Source organism: Homo sapiens, chromosome 6 (genome assembly GCF_000001405.40).
Source record: "Homo sapiens chromosome 6, GRCh38.p14 Primary Assembly".
Taxonomy (NCBI): domain Eukaryota; kingdom Metazoa; phylum Chordata; class Mammalia; order Primates; family Hominidae; genus Homo; species Homo sapiens.
The window spans coordinates 156,247,285-156,267,090 of NC_000006.12; the positions used below are offsets into that span (position 1 = coordinate 156,247,285).

Sequence of the window (19,806 nt, forward strand, 5' to 3'; positions counted from 1 at the left end):
TATTTGAAATCCCCCTAAAAATAACATTTAGCAGTAGCTTCATGATCTCTCTAGAATGTGTCTTTATTTTTCTTAAACATTTGATATGTTATACCACCCAGGCGGAAAATAGAACACAGAGTGTAGGATACACACATACTCACCACAAAAACAACCATATTGTAACAGCAAAATGTATTTATAAAATTGGTCAAGGAAATTGAATTTAACATATGCTGTTATCATACAAGTATTTTTAATGAAATAACATTTTGTATTTATATAGCACCTTTCTACTAAGGAGCAAAAATATGGCTCAGATATTATTACTCATTCTCACACCATCCTTGACAGGTGGATAAGTAGCAACATTTAAACCAAGTTTTAATCACTGGGAAACAAAGACATGCACAAAAAGAGCAAATAAACCACAAATGGTAACCCAGAAAGTTGGCATTTTCCACCCCCCAATGCCCACCGTGGTCCACTGACTCTTTTCTTCTCAAATCTTAAAAGCTACTTTGAATAGTGGTGAAAAAAAATACAGGAACAGTAGAGGGATAAAATAGGTATATACCAGCCTACTCGGGAACCTGCTGGTGGAACTTAAGACTGGAAACTGTTGAAAGTTAAAAACAGTTCCCAAACCTTGAGCATCTACTCAGACAAATTTAATGTGTACCAGGGACAAATGAAAGTATCCTTCCAAAATATGACCCAAATTATTGTCAAGCCTTTCTATAATAAAGGCCCATTCCTCAAGCAGCTGTCACATAACGTGAAGGTGATCAACAGCAAATCCATTAGCAACACAGGATAAAGAAATTTGAGTAGCCCAGAAACTCTTGCATAAAACATAACGTCAGCAAGATAGGAAATTCTGGATGATGCACTCCTGAGGAGCGCTTTAAAAAATCATTCAAGGAAATTAAAAAAAAAAAGTCTCTTTAAAGATAAATGCAAATTACAGACATAGTTGGAACCTAAAAGTATGTCTTGAATAAGAAAATTACCAGAGGATGAATTTCTTAAAAGCATGACTGTCTTTTAAGAGTTTCTAATATATTTAATCTCCAGTAAACTCTAGGATATCCAAAGGTGTGGTACTTTTTTTTTTCCAGAATATGCAGTGTCTGAGAAACTTTTATCACATCTATCCATGTAGTCAACTAATGTCAGCAAAACCAGACGGGAAATCATATATAAAGGGAAGTATGAAAATATTTTATTGTAAACTTCTGAGTCATAGGGATAAGGAAAGAAAGTTACATTATATTCTAATAACAAATTTTAATAACGTGAAAAAAGAAAAATAACAGCCAACACTTATTGAGCACCTCTGTGCGCTAGTATGGATAACGGTGCCAGGCACAATAGATGCCGTATCTCATTTCCTCATCACAAGCCTCCTTTGAGATATACCCATTTTATAGACTTAGATTAAGACACTTGTCAGAGTTCAGGGTACAAGCAGCTGTCTGACTCCAAACCCTTTATAGATGCTGCCTGGCTTTTTCTCTAGCCCTTTACTTCTTAATTAGTGCAGAGAACCAAGTCTTGCCTTTCATTTCTTCCCCTGCACCGAAGAAAAATCTAAAAGCCATCCTTTTGTAACGCTGAAAACTTGGAATCAAAAATCCATTAAAATGTTATCTATAGAAACACTCCCAAAGCTTCATAGCAAGAGATTCAGATAAAAGCACATATTTTCTCTACTTTGATGTGCATAAGTTTAAACTCCATGACTCTTATTTTGATCTTCATCATTCCCTATTTGACTGATTTTTAACCTATCATCTTACACCATGGAGTGGCAAATACTATCAAGGAATCAAAAAAAGGCAACTCCTTCAACAATCTAATTTATATGAAATATAGTAAATTACAATGATGCCTCTTTAATTAATCAAATTAATTAGTTAATTGATAAATTTAATTAATTAGTTAATTAACTAATGTCCCTGGTGGGCAAAGTTTTCTTAACCAGAGAGCTTCCTGGCCCACAGAGGAAAGGAAAAAGTAATGATCCTTCAGCTGTTTCTGAACTTCAGGACAGTCGGAGGCCCAGCTTCAGAGATCATGTCTTCTGCGAAGTCACAAGGGAAATTACACCTTCAAGAATGCACTGTGTGAGCCATATCCTTGACTCCCATGAATCAATTAGGAAAGGGCTATTGCTATAAATAAGCAAATAAGACTGGTCGTCAAGAAATTGGTCCTCCAGGTTTGACTTTTCTTTTCTTCTCCGCGACTGAACAGATTTACTTTTTTTTTTTTTTTTTGAGACAGAGTCTCCCTCTGTCACCCAGGCTGGGGTTCAGTGGCACTATCTCAGCTCACTGCAACTTCTGTCTCCTGGGTTTTTAAGCAATTCTCCTGCCTCAGCCTCCTGAGTAGCTGGGATTACAGGCACCCGCCACCACGCCTAGCTAATTTTTGTATTTTTACTACAGAGGGGGTTTCACCATGTTGGCCTGGCTGGTCTCAAATGCCTGACCTCAGTTGATCCACCCGCCTTGGCCTCCCAAAGTGCTGGGATTACGGGCATGAGCCACTGTGCCCGGCCCAGATTTACTTTTAATCTCATGAGATGCTGAGGACTAAGACCTCCTCCTTCCCAGGGCCCAAAGCAAGAAAATGAGGTTGAGAAGAGGCCCATCTCCAGAGATCTTACCCTTGGAATAAGGGTCTTTTTCCCATACCTCATTGACATCTATTCCCACTGGGCTGTTTTTATTTTCCTACCCCACACTCTGTCAGCTTTAAAGCACTAAAGAACTTTTTGGCCACCTCAGGACAAAAATGTGTTACAAAAGCCACCTCCCAAATGGAATTAGCTCAGCCTAACTAAGTAAATCAGGCTTTGGACAGGCTCTGCTTCCTGTTGGTTGTTCATACATTTGTGTTGCTCAAGTCATCTTAGAACCCAACTCCGCCTTGCTGGATTCATGATGGAATTTCTCTTTGCACCTGAACAACTCTTCAGGAAACTTCTCCTTTTAATTTTGAAGAATGTAATACCTTTCTGTCAGAAAAGGTGTCCAGGTCTTAGATTCACACTCAAGCCATGAATAATACTCTTCTGGGCATACATAAACACATGATTTCCCCAAATTCTCCTTCTCCTAGCACAGAGATCTTCCCTTCTTCCTCCTTCCTTCCCTTTCCCTAGCTTTCTTTCTAATTCGCACCTTTCCTGACATTTGTTTACTTGCTCGACCTTCTAAAAAATGTTTATTTAACGAACGTCTTCTATGATCCAGGCACTGAAGTAATCGACACAAAGGTGAGTAAGACACAGTCCTTGCCATAAGACGTTCATGCTCCTATGAAGCAGACCAATTATCAGACCATTACAGCACATGGCGGAAAGGCAGAGATAGAGTTAAGCCCAGGGCATTACAGGGCCCTCAAAAAGAGCAAGTCCCCTGCTGGGGACCCAGTCTCTTTCTCCTCACTCTTCAGGTTCTATGTGTTTTCAGGGTTTTGTTTCCTTGAAGTGTTTAAATAGTTTCCTTTCTAGCAACCGCCCCCACAGAGAACGAGGTAGACCTTCACAACTCCCAATCTGAATCATCTTATTACTTCCCGGCCAGCGACTCATATACTCTCAGACTCATCAACTTCTCATTATCCATACTACCACATACAACAGAATATCTAAAACCCCTAGAGCCCAACCCACTCCAGTCCATGTTTGAGTTTTCCAAATCCACATACCATTTGAAGAAGTTGAATTTTCCATGCAGTGTGTTTTGAAATCAACAGACATATACTTAATCCTTTTGCCTCAATTTCTGATCATCATAAAGACGGGAAAAACGAAATCCTCAGTTCATTTTAATTCTCTTAGTCCCTAATGTGATATTCCATGTGCACCCTCAATGACTGGCCTCTCTTTTACCTATCTGGTTTTGAATTACATTGGCTAACTTCAGAAAAATCATCTTGACTAAATTGTCTCTGAAAGTAATTGAGGCAGAAGATATATGCAGTCCCTCAGCAATTGTTTTAGCTGCACTGTCAGTTTTGAAATAAACAGCCTAATAAGAGGTCAGATACATGGGTTTTAAAAGCCTATTTATCATACAGTATTCAAAACCTTTAATCATTTTATAAGCCTCGCATTAAATGTCAGTTGTCATTCTCTTTCTCATCATGATTATTTAACAAACCAAAATACCATTATGTTGTTCCTTTTCTAGAAAACAAAATTGCTTGAATGTGAAAGAAATAAAGCTACAGAGAGACAGGGCTGGCGCGGGGGATCTGGACCTAGAGAACCAGCTTCAAATTCTGCTCCACCACCTATTTAGTGTGTGATTCGAAGCCAGTTATTTAAGTTCTTTGAGCTTCAGTTCCTTGATCTATTCAAGGAAGATAATAATAATCTCTACCTCACAAGTGTTTTCAAGGATGAGCCCACACCCATCCTTGAGTGAATCATCACCTTGGTGGTCTCCAAGGCATCCCCCTCCCCACCCCACCCCACCCCCGGCCGGCCCTCCTTTCTGAAGCAGCCTTTCTCACCCTGAGCTGCCCCACCCTCCAAGTTTCCTCCTGCTCTGGGCTCTCCTAAGTCTCTGGGCTATGGCCCACACAGACTGGAGTTCTGGTATCTCAGTCCTGGTCTTCATTCTCATTTCGTAGCCTCTCTTTAAGACAGCTCATCCATACTGGCAGCTTCCATTTTCAGATGCTTCCAATACTTCATTTGAATATCAGACCTTTATAGGCAACTATTTACACCATACCTCCTTTTGGGGGTATCTCCCACTCAACAGGTCTAAATGAAGTTCAAGTCCTCTCCTAAATCTAGCTGGCTTCCCATGTTCTCCTTCTCAGCTAGTGGCACCGCCACTCATTCAGCAGTGCGAGCCAGACACCAAAGAGCCATCCCAGACCCCTCACCTTCCCTCCAACCACAGCCATCACAAGCCCTGTCCATTCTCCCTCCTAAAGAGCTCAGAAATATGCCTTCGGAACTACATCCTCATTGGACCACCCCAATCTGAGGTACATCCATCTATTTCCTAAGCCATCTCATTGTACTCACTGCCATGCCGCAGCAGAGTGCCCTTCTCAATGCACAGATGTTGTGGTGTCATTCCACTGCTTCTGTCTTCTCACAGCTCTGCATTAATCTAAGGGTCAAAATTAAAATCTTTTTTTTATTTATATAAATGTATGGGGTTCAAGAACACTTTCGTTACATGCATAGATTGCATGATGGTTAAGTCAGGGCTTTTACATATTTATCATCCAAATAATGCACATCGTACCCATTAAGTAATTTCTCATCCTCCACCCCCTCCTGCTCCCTCATCCTTCCAAATCTCCATTGTCTATCATTCCAATCTCTATGGCTATTTGTACACATTTTTTCACTTCCACTTATGAGTGGAAATATGTGTATTTGTCTTTCTGTATCTGGGTTGATTTGCTCAAGATAATGGCCTTCAGTTCCATCCATGTGGCTGCAAAAGACATGATTTCATTCTTTTTTATGGCTAAATAGTATTTCATTGTGTTTATATGCCACAATGTCTTCATCCAATTTAGGATATTTAGGTTGATTCTATATCTTTGCTATTGTGAATAGTGCTGCAATAAACGTAAAAGTACGGGTATCTTTTTGATATATTGATTTCTTTTCCTAGGGGTAGATGCCCAGTAGTGGAGTTGCTGAATCAAATTGTATTTCTCATTTTTGGTTCTTTGAGAAATCTCCATACTGTTTTGCACAGAGGTTGTACTAATTTACATGCCCACCAGCAGTGTTGAAGAGTTCACTTTCTCCATATCCTCACCAACATCTGTTCGTTTTTGTCTTTTTAATAATAGCCATTCTAGCGTTTGTTTTCTTAGTATTGAGTTGTTTGATTTCCTTATATATTTTGGATATTAGCCCCTTTCATATGTATGGTTTGCAAATATTTTCTCCCATTCTGCAGGCTGTCTCTTCAACCTATTGATTATTTCCTTTGCTGTGTAGAAGCTTTTTAGTTTAATTAGGTCCCATTCATCTGGTTTTTGTGTGTGTGTGTCAGCGCGGGGGATGGAGTTTTGCTCTTGTTGCCCAGGCTGGAGTGCAATCGCACAATCTCGGCTCATGCAACCTCTGCCTCCTGGGTTCAAGAGATTCTCCTGCCTCAGCCTCCCAAGTAGCTGGGATTACAGGCACACACCACCATGCCCAGCTAACTTTTTTGTATTTTTAGTAGAGACAAGGTTTCACCATGTTGGTCAGGCTGGTCTCAAACTCCTGACCTCAGGTGATCTGCCTGCCTCAGCCTCCCAAAGTGTTGGGATTACAGGCATGAACCTGTTTCTGTTTTTAAATCCTTAGGGAGATGTACATGACCTCACAGGACCTGACCCTGGCTCCCGGCCAGCCTCATCTCCCATGGCTTTCCTGTCCCTGTACTACCTCGCTTCCTTCCCCTTTAGCCTCAGTTCAAGTTCACATCTTCAGGATGGTAGTCTATCACCCCTTACCCCAGTTTAGACCATCTGCTAGGCATTCCCACCTCACCGCTTGATTTTCTTTTAGGGCATTTAGCACATTTGCTGTTGTATGACAATGTGGGCCTTTTCATCAATGGCAGTCTCCCGTGCAAGAATGTATAATCCAGTACGGCAGGACATAGCTATATATTGCTTATCCATGAATTCCCAGTGGCAAGCCCCAGTAGAATTTCAATATGTATATAGTGAGTTATTAAAAAGCGATTTATTAAGTTATTAATTACTTTTTAAATTAATTTTTTAACTTAAACTTTTTAGCCAAAACCAAGAATACCTATTTAATAAAAAATAAAGGGCCTATGTACATGCTCCTAGTACACATTAATTCATCAAAGGATAATAAAGAAGAAAACCTGGAGTCAGAGCCGATTGTGCTCTGCTAACAAATAACAATCTTGACAGGACCTTAGGAGGTCAACATCAGCCAGCACCCATTTTGGATACAGGTGACTTGGTGGACCTTTGTTTCCCATCAAGTCCCTTTCTTCTAGCAACCAAGCGCCCCTGCAGCCTGCCCCTGACACAGCCTGGCAGCAGGTGCTTACCCTCCAAGGGAAACAGCCAGGCCCTGTGCCCCATATGCAATGAACAAGGCTGGGCTGTGCCCCTTTCCTGCAAGCAATCAGCACAGGCCCTCAAGCATGAGATTTAATTGCTTGTTCATTATTTTAGCTTGCAGGGGCTACAAGGAAGTATGGCATTTCTGAGCATACCATCCGAAGAAACCCTGGGAGCTGTCAAATTAAAAAATAACAACAGAAACGAGAAAGGAGCCTGTCTTTAGCCGAACGGTTTCAGGTGCCTGTGACTCAATGAGAGGGCCCCCATCAAAACCCATGGAAGCCCCTCACTGTTTGTTCTGCCCTTTTCAATTCTGTCTGAGCGGGGAGGAGAGTGCCACAAAGAGATGAGAATTTGAACTCGCAGCCCCCGAGTGCACCAATGTCCTTTTTCTGCCTGATTGTATACTTAAAGTGCCTGTAAAGTCAATAACTTCCCATGGTTTCACAGCAAAGCCAAAAGATTAAAAAAGAGACATTGTCCTTTTGAAGATGTGGAAAGTAATAAGTGAGCAGGCTGAATCCTCTTTGGGTTTAAAAGCCTGTGCAGTTCTGCTTTAAGGTGTCAAAATTGCCTTAAATCTTTAGCTTTGTTATACCCTGCTGCTACACAGATATAATAGAACCAGGCTGACTCTCTCAAACAATTTGGAGATCATTTTTTCTCTCTAAAAACTTTGTTGAAATATATATGTTAGCACAGACTTTTTCTTAACATTTTCTGTTTAAAATATAGTATCTTTTTCAGATGCATCTTAAGAGATCAGAATAGTCAAACAGTAGCTCTCTTTTTGAAAAAAAAATTGTACACCATCTTCAAGTTTTAAGCACAAAGGTTACAGCTAGTTCTCCTCCCCCATTTTATTTCCACTGTTGGAGCAGATTTGACCTCGTCTCTCTAAAGGCAGAAAACTTCAACAAAGGCGGGAGGACTATTTAAAGTGATGAAAAAGATTCTGAATGAAGGATTATGCCTTTGATGAAGGCTGAAAGAAATGCAGTGCTTAGGAAGTGGATAAAAGTCAACAGCAACAATTCTTTGCTTTGGATGAAACCTTAAAGGTGCACTTTTCCCCAGTGATATGAAAAATAAAAAAATAAAAACAACCAACCAGAGACACGTAACTCTTCTGGTTCTGTGGCATCTGTACATTCACATGATAGAAACTTACTAAATCCCAAAGGGACCCTGGCAAAGCCCAGGCTCCATGATAGGCTGGGAGCCCTGCCACTGCACCAGGAGAAAAGGAGTCACTAGACTCTGGATGGGGAAGAGAAAAGCCTCTTTCCTCCCTCCCATTCCAAAAGAGAAGAAAAAACCTGGACAGCCAGATATAAGCAGCCTCGAAAAATCTCTCTAGAGGAGAAAAGACAGGAAGAATGTCATCCAGAAAGAAGGCCAGGAGACGATGCTACAAAGGTGCTTTTTCTCCCTCCTCACTTTCCACCTTTCCCACTGTCGCCTCTCCCTCTAAACCACCCACACTCATCTCTCTCCAGATTCTGCTCTCCCGCTGGAGCCTGACCAACACATTTCCCAAAAGCAGATGAAAAAAAAAAAAAAAAAGCAAGGGTCTCAGGCTCTGTCACATCCAACTCATTCTTATGTGCCAGGGAGACACAGAGTGACATTTTGTGTATCTGTTGGATTGTGAATTACCACTTAAGCATAAAGACTGTTCTCAACAGTGAGATTCCCTTCATGTAGACACCCTCATGCTTCAGCTAGGTGCTTACAGGTGAATAGTTACTCAAAAATCGTCATGTAGCAAATTTGGTTTCTGAACCTTGAATTAGAGAGACTCAGGCATGCACCAAGGAAATGTCTAGCTATGCTCTTCTCCAGCCTCCCACCCGACTGCGGGTCTTAGCGATATTCTGTTGGTATCACTATGGTGTGCCGGGCTTTTGTTTGAATGGTCCAACCTGGCTGCGATCATTTTATGAGCAGACCTAATCGCTCTGCCGGTGTCTGCATTGTCTGCTTCAAAAGTCAGGTTCACCAGAGAGAGTAATTTCTTAATGGAAAGAATTTGTTATCAGTTTAGGCCACAAGCCCGAATCTTTGAAACAGCATGACTCAGATAGCTCATCACTCAGAGAATTACGGTTTTGCATCCCTCGGTTCTAAGTGAGGTTTGCTTCCTCTTTTGAGGACAGCAGAATTAAATTACCAGAGCCATCTCACTGGTCATTCATTTAGTATTTACCACACCTACTATGTGCAAGGCGTAGTGGGAAGTAGAAAGATTAGAAAGAAAAGCTCCTGGCCAGGCGTGGTGGCTCTCACCTGTAATCCCAGCACTTTAGGAGGCCAAGGCGGCTGGCTCACCCTGAGGTCAGGAGTTTGAGATCAGCCTGGCCAACATGGTGAAAACCCATCTCTACTAAAAATACAAAAATTAGCCAGGCATGGTGGGGGATGCCTGTAATCCCAGCTACTTGTGAGGCTGAGGCAGGAGAATTGCTTGAACCCGGGAGGTGGAGGTTGCAGTGAGTCGAGATTGGCCATTGCACTCTAGCCTGGTCAACAATAGCGAAACTCCATCTCAAAAAAATAAAAAGAAAGAAAGAAAAGCTCCTCTATCAAAGAGGTTAGTAGCTTACAGATCTTAGAATCACACAACTTAGAAAAAAATGTTGAAGCTTATATATAGAATCCAAGTGCTTTATTTTATAGATGAAGAAGACAGACTCTGAACTATTCTGTATCTCCTGTGGTAAACTACAGAGGTAATTCTCAAACCCAGGTCTTCTGACTCAAAGAAGGACTGTGCCTTTCCATTCTGTTTCTAACAGCTGAGAGGCTCCAGCATCCCCAGGTCCCAGAGGCCTATGTGGTCTAGAAAGCTGGTGCGTGGTCATCAGTCAAAAGCACACACACCCCTCACTGCATACATACACCACGGCCAGCACACACCTGGAGGTTTGAATACACGCATTCACACACTTACGTAATTCTCACAATAAGTGTTTGAGGCAAGGATTGGCATTCAGGATGTAAGCTTGACAAGCTGAGTGCGGTGTTAAATAACCCATTCAAGGTCAAAGGGTCCCCGTGGCGAATTGAGGACTCAAAACTCAGTCTGTTCTCTGCCCCTACACACCAGTAGCCTCAATTTCCAACTCGTTTGTTTGTTCTCTGTTATAAACTGAATGCTTGTGTCTCTCTCACAAAATTCACATGTTAAAATCCTAATCCCCAATGTGAGAGTATCAGGAGGTGAGGCCTTTGGGGGCGATTAGGTCATTAGGGTGAAGCCCTCATGGTGGGATTAGAGTCTTTGTTAGAAGAGACACAACAGAGATCATTGTTTCTCTTCAGCCATGTGAGGACAGACAAGATGTCCATCTACAAACCAGAAAGGGGGCCCTCACCAGACACCAAGTCTGCTGGAGCCTTGATCTTGGACTTCCTAGCCTCCAGAACTATAAGAAAAAATGTCTGGCTGGGCGCGGTGGCTCATGCCTGTAATACCAGCACTTTGGGAAGCCAAGGCGGGTGGATTACTAGAGGTCAGGAGTTTGAGACTAGCCTGGCCAACATGGTGAAACCCTGTCTCTACTAAAAATACAAAAATTAGTGGGACGTGGTGGCACATGCCTATAACCGCAGCTACTCGGGAAGCTGGGGCAGGAGAATCGCTTGAACCGGGAGGCAGAGGTTGCAATGAGCTGAGATTGCACCACTGCACTCCAGCCTGGGTGACAGAGCCAGACTCTGTCTCAAAAAAAAAGAAAAAAGAAAAAAAAAGAAATGTTTGTTGTTTAAGCCAGCCGGTCCATGATATTCTGTTATAGCAGGCCAGACTGACTCATACACTCCCTTTGTTTCATCTTCATGTATTTCTGGCATCCTAGTTTGTACCAAATAATGGAATCTTACAATTTTAGAAATGGAAATGTTCTTAGAGACGATGTGGTCCAGATCTCTCATTTTACAGGTGAGGTAGCCAGTCCAGTGACTCATCTGTGCTCAGGTCATGAGAGCCACGCAAGCTCTAGAGAGCACACACGGAGTGAGAGAGAGAAGCCGAGATCCTGTCCCCGCAGGCACTAGCCTCTCCATGCTTTCATACAACACAGGTGTCACCCTGGTTGTCCCAAGCCTCAGCAGCCAGTGGATGTTAATATGGTCACATTATTAATAAAAACAAGAATGAATAAAGTACTAACTTGACATAGGAGCCATACATATGCATCTGTCTACTACAGAACCTCCCATCCCTCTCCAAGTCCTCACCTGGGTTTTCTGGAGTCCCATTGTCTGTCTCACAATCACCCTTATTTGTACTCAACACCCTAGACATCATTCAAGTGTTTTCCTCAGTCACGACGGTAGCTGCTCAGACCTTCTTTGTCAATGTCTGCTTCCCCTGAAAAGCCTTCTCTCTCATGCCTCTCTGCCTGTGTCCACAGTGTCTGAATTAAAGGTCCTTGGTCCTCAAGGAACCAAGACTACACTGAGATCCAATCTTGGGAAGCGCCTCTCCTTCAACCTCTGGTACCACTCATCCATAAACACCAACACTGTTTGCCTCTTTGTGTATCATAAAGTCCCTCATTGAAACAGCCCTTAAACTCCAGTCTGGAAAACAAATCCACTGGGCTACAGTAAGGACCAATTTTAGACACAGACATCCTCCCCCTTCCTCTTGACCCCAGGTATTCTCTGCCAAACTACAACTCCTCCAGGAAATCAGCATCTAGCAGCACCCCCACCAACCCATGGAGGTTTGTTTTGTTTTGTTTTGTTTTGTTTTGTTTTTTTGAGACAGGTCTCCTCTGTCAGTGCAGTGGTGCAGTCATGGCTGGAGTGCAGTGGTGCAATCATGGCTCACTGCAGCCTGGGCCTCCCCGGGCTCAGGTGATCATCCATGGAGCAAGTTTGAAGAGATCCGAAGCCCAAGGTAGGCTCAGGCTAGAATTCCCACTATATACAGATCGCTAGATTCAATTTAAATGTGTCTTAAATTTTACAAATTATGCAACAGGATTAAAGATGTAATTGAACAAAACTTGTCCAAGAAGGTCCTTGGTATTTTCTCTCTTCTGGAAATCATCGATGAAAAAGCATGTTCCATGAGCTGGCAGAACTCAATCTTTTAAGGGGAAAAAAGGTCATTTAATTGCACAATAAGAGGCATACTGTGGGCAGAAAACAGCTCCCTATTTATTGCATGTATCAAATTATTTAGGTATCTAAGAGAGAAAGGTGGATGTACCAAAAACCTAGGCTATGTGTAATCATAGAAATTGAGTATCAAATTGAGTTCTACACTTCCTAGAAGCCAAGATAAAAAGTAAAATAGATAAGTTATATAGTTCTCCACTATTATTCATCTCATAGAGTAATACAGCATCTGGTCTAACAGCCAAAAGCCTATCATCACATAAATAAATGATTAATTGTCTGGATCTCTAAATAAAGGGAATAAATCACCCTAGACAACAAGGTCTTGGAGGGCCTCGTCTGGGTGGTCCCCACCACATGCCCCAAAACAGTTTTCCATAATAGTCAGAAACCAATTTCATCTGCCTTCTTATGCAAAGTACGAGAAGAAGTCACATTGCTTTCTTTCCTGATCATTTTGAGGAGGTGTTTTTACAAAGACCTCCTGCTCTGAACACTGCTAGTTCTGCCTGTAATGGGCCCAGCTTCCTAGATGGACCACACATGGTACCAAGCATGGCTTATGAGACCCTTGAGCCTGGCTTATGATGACCCTTGGTGGTCATTTTCCTCATCATTTTCAGCCTGGGCAAGCTTGTCTGTCTCTCTTGGACACAGGAAGGTGCCTCATTAACCTCTTTTTACCCTCTCCCATAACCAGTGCACAAAAAGATGCTTGGATCCTGGGTCTGGACTGAAGGAAATGTGCATCTTCTTGAGTTTAGGTCCATGGAGGGACATCATGGTCCAACAAAACCAACCCCAGATCTCCACAGCAGCCTCAACAGGAAAATAGTGTGTGCCTAAAAGCAGGTTTTTCATCACATAATACTGACTGTGGGGATGTGGGGGAAATAGAGGAGGGTGTTCCCAGCCTTGAGAAGCCCAGCTGTGGAGGCAGGACCATGGAACAACAACCAGAAAGTAGGATTGTGTGGGAGGGCGAAGACTAGAGGGTTAAGAGTGCAAGCTCTGGAGTCAGGAAGATCCAAGTGTGAACCCCAACTCTGTTCCTTATGAGCTGCTTGGCTTTGGGCAGACTAGTTAAATTCTCTGTGCCTCGGTTTCTTCATCTGAAAACCAGGGAGAACTTGTTGGAATTGTTGTGAGAGCCAGTGGAGATCAGGGATGGCAAGAAGGGAGCAGCGTTAGCCACATGTTAAGTCGCTCACAGCAAATTCTAGCTGTTATCCCTGTTCTGTTGCCATCACCACTACTCCTTAAGTTTCGGGAAACTTCAGAGAGAGAGAGATGATTGGATGCTGGAAACAGAGAATCCTGCACAACCTCACGTGGGTTCTAGGATCAGAGAGGCCTGTATTTGAATCTCATTTGATTACCTCAATGAATTTACACAAGAAACTCAATACCTTTGAACATCAGTTTCTTTGCCTCTAAAGTGGGAACAGTAATGCCTATGATGCATGTTTATTATGTTTGTCTCTAAGAAAAAAAATGTCATTTGATTGCGCAATAAGAAACATACTTCATCTGTGGGCAGAAAACAACTTCCTGTTTATGGCCTGCATCAGTATATTTATGCACCTATCAGAGAAAGACAGATGTATCAAAAACATAGATATAACATACAAATCACCCTTATTACAGCCCTGGGCCTTAATGGACCCTCAGTAAACAAGAGCTTCTATGAGTAATATGAGGCAACTAGATTCAAGCACGACTTCAAAAAGTAAACAGAATTAGACTGGCAAATTGAGTATATGGAGAAGATATTTCAGAACCAGGGGAGAGGATGAGAGTCAGCACAGAAGGGAGAATAAGCTCATTAGATATGAGATGAATTCAGGAGAACAGTCTGAATTTGGGGAGCGATTCATTGGGAACAATGGCAGGTAAGACCACATAAAGAAACAGACCCAAACACTAGGATGTGGGCTGAAAAGTGAACAGAAGGTTACCATTGTGAGCTCCAAAGCAGAGAGTAGCCAGATGGGATCCAAGTTGTAAAAGATCAGCCTGGCCGGCCGGGCGCAGTGGCTCATGCCTGTAATCCCAGCACTTTGGGAGGCCAAGGTGGGTGGATCACAAGGTCAGGAGATGGAGATCATCCTGGCTGACACAGTGAAACCCCATCTCTACTAAAAATATAAAAAATCAGCTGGGCAAGGTGGCGGGCACCTGTAGTGCCAGGTACTCGGGAGGCTGGGGCAGGAGAATGGCATGAACTCGGCAGATGGAGATTGCAGTGAGCCGAGATCGAGCCACTGCACTCCAGCCCGGGCAACAGAGCGAGACTCCGTCTCAGGAAAAAAAAAAAAAAAAAAAAAAAAGATCAGCCTGGCCATGATAAGCAGAGTGGATGGAGTAAAGAGGAACTTGAGGGGTGTAGTCTTCAATACCTAGGGATTGTAGATGAGTACAATTCTGAACATTTCCAGCTTGTACAGCTCAACTCTCCATTTCCAACCTAATTAAATTTCATGTGGATATTCACTTTCTCTATTACTGCCATTGCTATTCTGCACAGTAAAGAATTCTTTTCCAAGACCCAAGGGATGTGTAGATATGGATTCCATGAGGATTCTAGTCACTCACCTTCTACTGATTTTTAGCTTAAAACACAGTAGAAAATTATTGACATTATTTCCTTGAAAACCCTTCCCTGCCTGTGCATGTCTGTGTCAATAATTGTCATGTAGCAATTGGAAACGGGCCTTTGGCAGCTCGCCTAGGAATGTCAAATAGTCTCCATTAGGTTTGAAAGCTCCGAGTTTCAGTAATGGGTTGATACTCTACCTGATATGATTGTACAAAATTACATAATTGATTTCTGGGACACTGTGCCACACAAATTTTATAGGTTTCTTTTATTTTGTGCCTCAAAAGGCAAGTATGCTTTCCTTCATTTTCCTCAGCAAGAGGATTTCAAGTCTTGCTCCTGGCTGGTCCAGATGAAGCTCAGGTATTTTATAAGGCTCTACACCCCTTTTCTCAGTTATTTTACACATCAAAGACTGTGATTTTCCACTGGCTTCTAGGAGTTGGTAACTAACTAAAAAGTGGGCCTGAGAATGTTGTCTTACCAACTATACAGTGCACAAAGGATATTCTTCCCAGCCTAAAATTAGGAACGAACATTGCTTAATTGTTTCAGTATGTTTGCAGTGTTTCTTTTTTCATTCAGCTTTATGATGACTGCAAATGTAGCATTTGCTACATATCTTTATATTTGGTTAATGCAGGCATTCTCTTTAAAAGAATCAGTTATTTCTAATCTCAGAAAGCCTATGGTCAGGGAACAATGACAAGGTAAGAAAGAACTGGCTTCTGTGCAATCTCTTCTCTCTGTGTCAATGGCTCTAAGGACTAACGGGCTGCCATTCAGCATCACTGTTCTGTCTGGGCCAAAGCAGAGAGGAAAAGCTAGATAGGCCCCAATTCGGTGTCACTGGGCAATTGTCCCTAATATTTAACAATGGCCATGACAAACCCTATGCTTGGGGGTAGGAGAAAGAAGTCATTAGTGCGACTAGGTGCTGGGGGAACTGTGAGCGCATTTCGAAAGCAACATCTTGTATTAAGAGAGAAGAATATAATGAAATGCAAAAAGGCATATTATAAGAATAGTAATATTCTTTAAGAATACTGAAAGGCAAGAAGAACTGAAATCAAAACAAAACCTGATGAATGAAAATTATTTCATTTGTTCTGGTCGGGCACAATGCCTCACGCCTGTAATCCCAGTACTTTGGGAGGCCAAGGCTGGTGGATTGCTTGAGGTCAGGAGTTTGAGACCAGCCTGGCCAACATGGTGAAACCCCGTCTCTACTAAAAATATTAAAAAATTGGTCAGGCATGGTGGTGCATGCCCGTAGTCCTAGCTACTCAGGAGGCTGAGACAAGAGAGTTACTTGAACCCGGGAGGTGGAGGTTGTAGTGAGTCGAGATCGTGCCACTGCACTCAACCCTGGGCTACAGAGTGAGACTCTATCTCAACCAGAAAAATAACTAAAAAATAAAAAGAAAATTATTTTATTTGTTTAATATGGCTCACAAACTGAATGCTAAACTGAGTTACAATGAACTCATATTCAAGTAAACTGATTTTCAGATATGATATTCAAACTGAAGGACTTAAGAAAACTTCTCATTCCTTCTCCTTGCAAACTGCATTTCTTTTAGATAGAACTTTCTAAATAATTAACAAAAATAGATTGCTACCAACGGACAATTCCAGAAATATTTCCAAGTAAGAAAAGTGACAACCTAGAAAATACTATATACTATGTGATCAAGACCTAATATTATACCTTGTGTGGTGATATGCCCCCACATAGGCAAGAATCTAATTGACAACACTCTTACCAAAGATGTAATACACATTTTATTCTAGTGTTCAAGAGAATTCTAAGGGTGGAATCATCTCAAGAATGCCATACATGTATGGTTTTACTGTTAGAAATTGTGACATTACCAGAAGTGTCATGTTATTTTCTAAATGAAAATCATTTGAAATTAATTTTGTTTTGAGATGTTCACAACTTCCTCAGAAATACTTGGGAGATATGCCAAGGTGTTATAAAACCAGTGCTTGGCTGGACATGGTGGCTCACACCTGTAATCCCAGCACTTTGGGAGGCTGAGGCAGGCAGATCATGAGGTCAGGAGTTCAAGACCAACCTGACCAACATGGTAGAGCACCGTTTCTACTAAAAATACAAAAATTAGCCAGGCCTGGTGGCTCGTGCCTGTAATTTCAGCTACTCCAGAGCCTGAGGCAGGAGAATCACTTGAACCTGGGAGGCAGAGGTTGCAGTGAGCTGAGACCACGCCATTGCACTCCAGCCTGGGTGACAGAGTGAGACTCTGTCTTGAAAAAAAAAAAAAAAAAAAAACAGTGCCCAGTCTTTATTCCATGCTTATTCCAGTCAATATGGATAGATGGACTATTCTACACAAGACACAGTTCAGTCAGCAGTCAGGATGTGAGAATTACAAATTGAGAACAGTTCCCACCCGCATGGAGCAGAAATACAATCAAACATCCAAAAACCCAAGTCCACCCATTTGTTCTTAAATGCAAGAATTATCTACCCAAATTTTAGACAGATAAAATAGATAAATAAACAAGCCATCATCAGTAATTTCTCCATTTACCCAATATCATAAACTTTAGAAAAGAAATTCCACTTCCGAGGCTAAAGTTTGAGTAATTCCTCAGTGTAGCTTTGGAGTGGGAGGCCTTTCTGTGATGTATTTTCTTACAATGACCATGATTTTTTTTCTACACAGCTATTAAAACATCCTTAGGCAGGTATTTGAAAATCAAACATTGTTTTGACCTTTCAATTTCTGTGGAAGCCAGCAGTTGTCCTCAGCTATAGCCAGTTCTCCTCTCACTCTGGGTACCAAAAAAAAAAAAAAAGAAAAACCTAGCTTCCTGACCCCCTGGTGGGTGCTGTGGAAGTGGTTATAGGACTGCTTCAGACCAATGTGTTGGGACACACATGCCCTCCATGCCAGAGCCTTTAATTGCCCATACTAGACATGCCCAGCATTCTCTTTTCAAAGTGATGCCATCTTCTCTCCAATGACTGATCTTTCAGTCTGGATCCTGGAGAAAGAACCGCAGAGAGCAGAGCTCTCTACCAACCTTGAGGGCCATGTGACAAGAGAAAGAAATTACCCTGGTAATTAGCCATTGAGTTTCAGGGATTGCTTGTTACTACAGCATAACTAAGCCCATCTTGATCGATAACTTCTTTTAGTTTCACTGCTGAAATGCTCTCAGGGTTTTCTATCAGAGGGGAATTGAGCAGGAGAAAAGAAAATAAAGGCCCTCAGGATGCCATCAGTGGGCTTGGGAGCCTTTAAAGGCATGAGCTTTTTTATGTTTCATAAGAAGAAAGATGACTTGTGAGAACCAGGGCATGTGGAACTATGCCCATTATCCTATAGAAAAAAAGGAAGGCTTTCCTCCTCTTTCTTAGAGGGGTTAATTCTCTCCAACTATGTACCTCTCTCCTAGGCAAATGGCTTTAGGCTAGATGGAATTGGATCAGGAGGTAGGGCTGATAACAGGACTAAAAAGAAGCTCTTAGGAAGATCTAAGAAACCAATACCAGGAGTGCCCAGGTCACCCTATGCAGCTGTCACACATTCATCACGCAGGTTGAGAGTTTCCTAACATTCTGAATGACTTGTAGTGCTGGACCCTGGACCCCCTCTCTGCTATGAAATTCTCCATTCTGACATCTGACTCACCTTGGAGACTTACATGAAGTAGTCTCTTCCACAAATATCCTTCGAGCCTTGGGCATCCCATCGGCCACCTTGTATGAGGTGCAGTCCAGTGGTTTCTACTTGTGGCTGGGCAGCAGCTTGCATAGTTTTGTTAACATGCAGATGGAGGGAGGTTGGGATTCATCACATCTGGAGTGTTCACCTCCCTTCCCTCCTGCCCCCATGTGTACTTCAAAAACATCTCACCAGTGACTCTGCTGGGTAGTCAGGCACCATTGAAAGCCACTGCTATATAAATGCTTTTCCTTTCAGATCACCAGTGTATTAGTCTGTTCTCATGCTGTTGATAAAGACATACCTGAGACTGGGCAATTTACAGAAGAAAGAGGTTTGATGGACTTACAGTTCCACGTGGCAGAGACCTCACAATTATGGCAGAAGGCAAGGAGGAGCAAGTCACATCTTATATGGATGGCAGCAGGCAAAGAGAGAGTTTGTACAGAGAAACTCCTGTTTATAAAGCCATCAGATCTCATGAGACCCATTCACTATGACAAGAACAGCACAGGAAAGACCCCACCCCATGATTCAGTCATCTCCCACTAGGTTTCTCCCACAACACCTGGGAATTATGGGAGCTACAAGATAAGAATTCGGGTGGGGACACAGAGCCAAACCATATCAACCAGGGAAATAAACAACTTCTAATAATAATAACAACAATAATTGTTAACATTTATTGAGCACACACATGCAACTTCTGAGCATTGGCTCATTTAATTCTCATACCAATCCTACGAACTAAATGCTGATATGATTCTCATTTTATAAACTTATCCAACGTCACATAGGAATAAGTGGCAGAATAAGAGTGAGAACTCAAATCCACAAAGCTCTAAAGGCCTTCTTTCCCAAAGCAGAATCCAAACTCTTTAAGCTGAATTTCTTTGTTTCCAATTAAAACACAGTCACAGCCACTGGAGGTATTACACTATGGAACTTGCCTGTTCTCCTCAGGGGGAGCTGACTCCATGCTACCAATCTTCTGGTGCTGAGTGAGTGCCCAGGAAGAACCTGCTTCCTAGTCTCCCTGTAAGATAGGCTGGGTCTCCAGGACTGAGTTCCAGCCAGTGGAACATGGGTGCCTTCTAGGCCTCGCAGAAGACATCTCGCAGGCTGTCCACGCAAGCATGGCTCCTTCTGCATCCCGGGAGGCCGTGTGCTTAAGGTGGCAGCAAGACAGGTTAGAAGCGACCTGGATTTCTGAGCCTTCTTTTAGAGGAGAGCTTCCCAGAAAAGCTACCCAGCCTGCAGCAAACTATTACAGGAGGGTGGAATAACCCTTGATTGTGAAAAGTCACT

General features: G+C 42.3%; 1 long non-coding RNA gene across 1 annotated transcript in view; it reads right to left on the reverse strand.

Annotated features, from left to right (window-relative positions):
* Nucleotides 1-19,806, reverse strand: part of LOC101928923 (uncharacterized) — a 487,547-nt gene that overhangs the window by 438,560 nt on the left and 29,181 nt on the right. Inside the window, exon 3 of the long non-coding RNA XR_001744423.2 lies at nt 5,036-5,123. This is a non-coding gene — a long non-coding RNA (uncharacterized LOC101928923). The remainder of the gene's footprint in view (nt 1-5,035; nt 5,124-19,806) is intronic.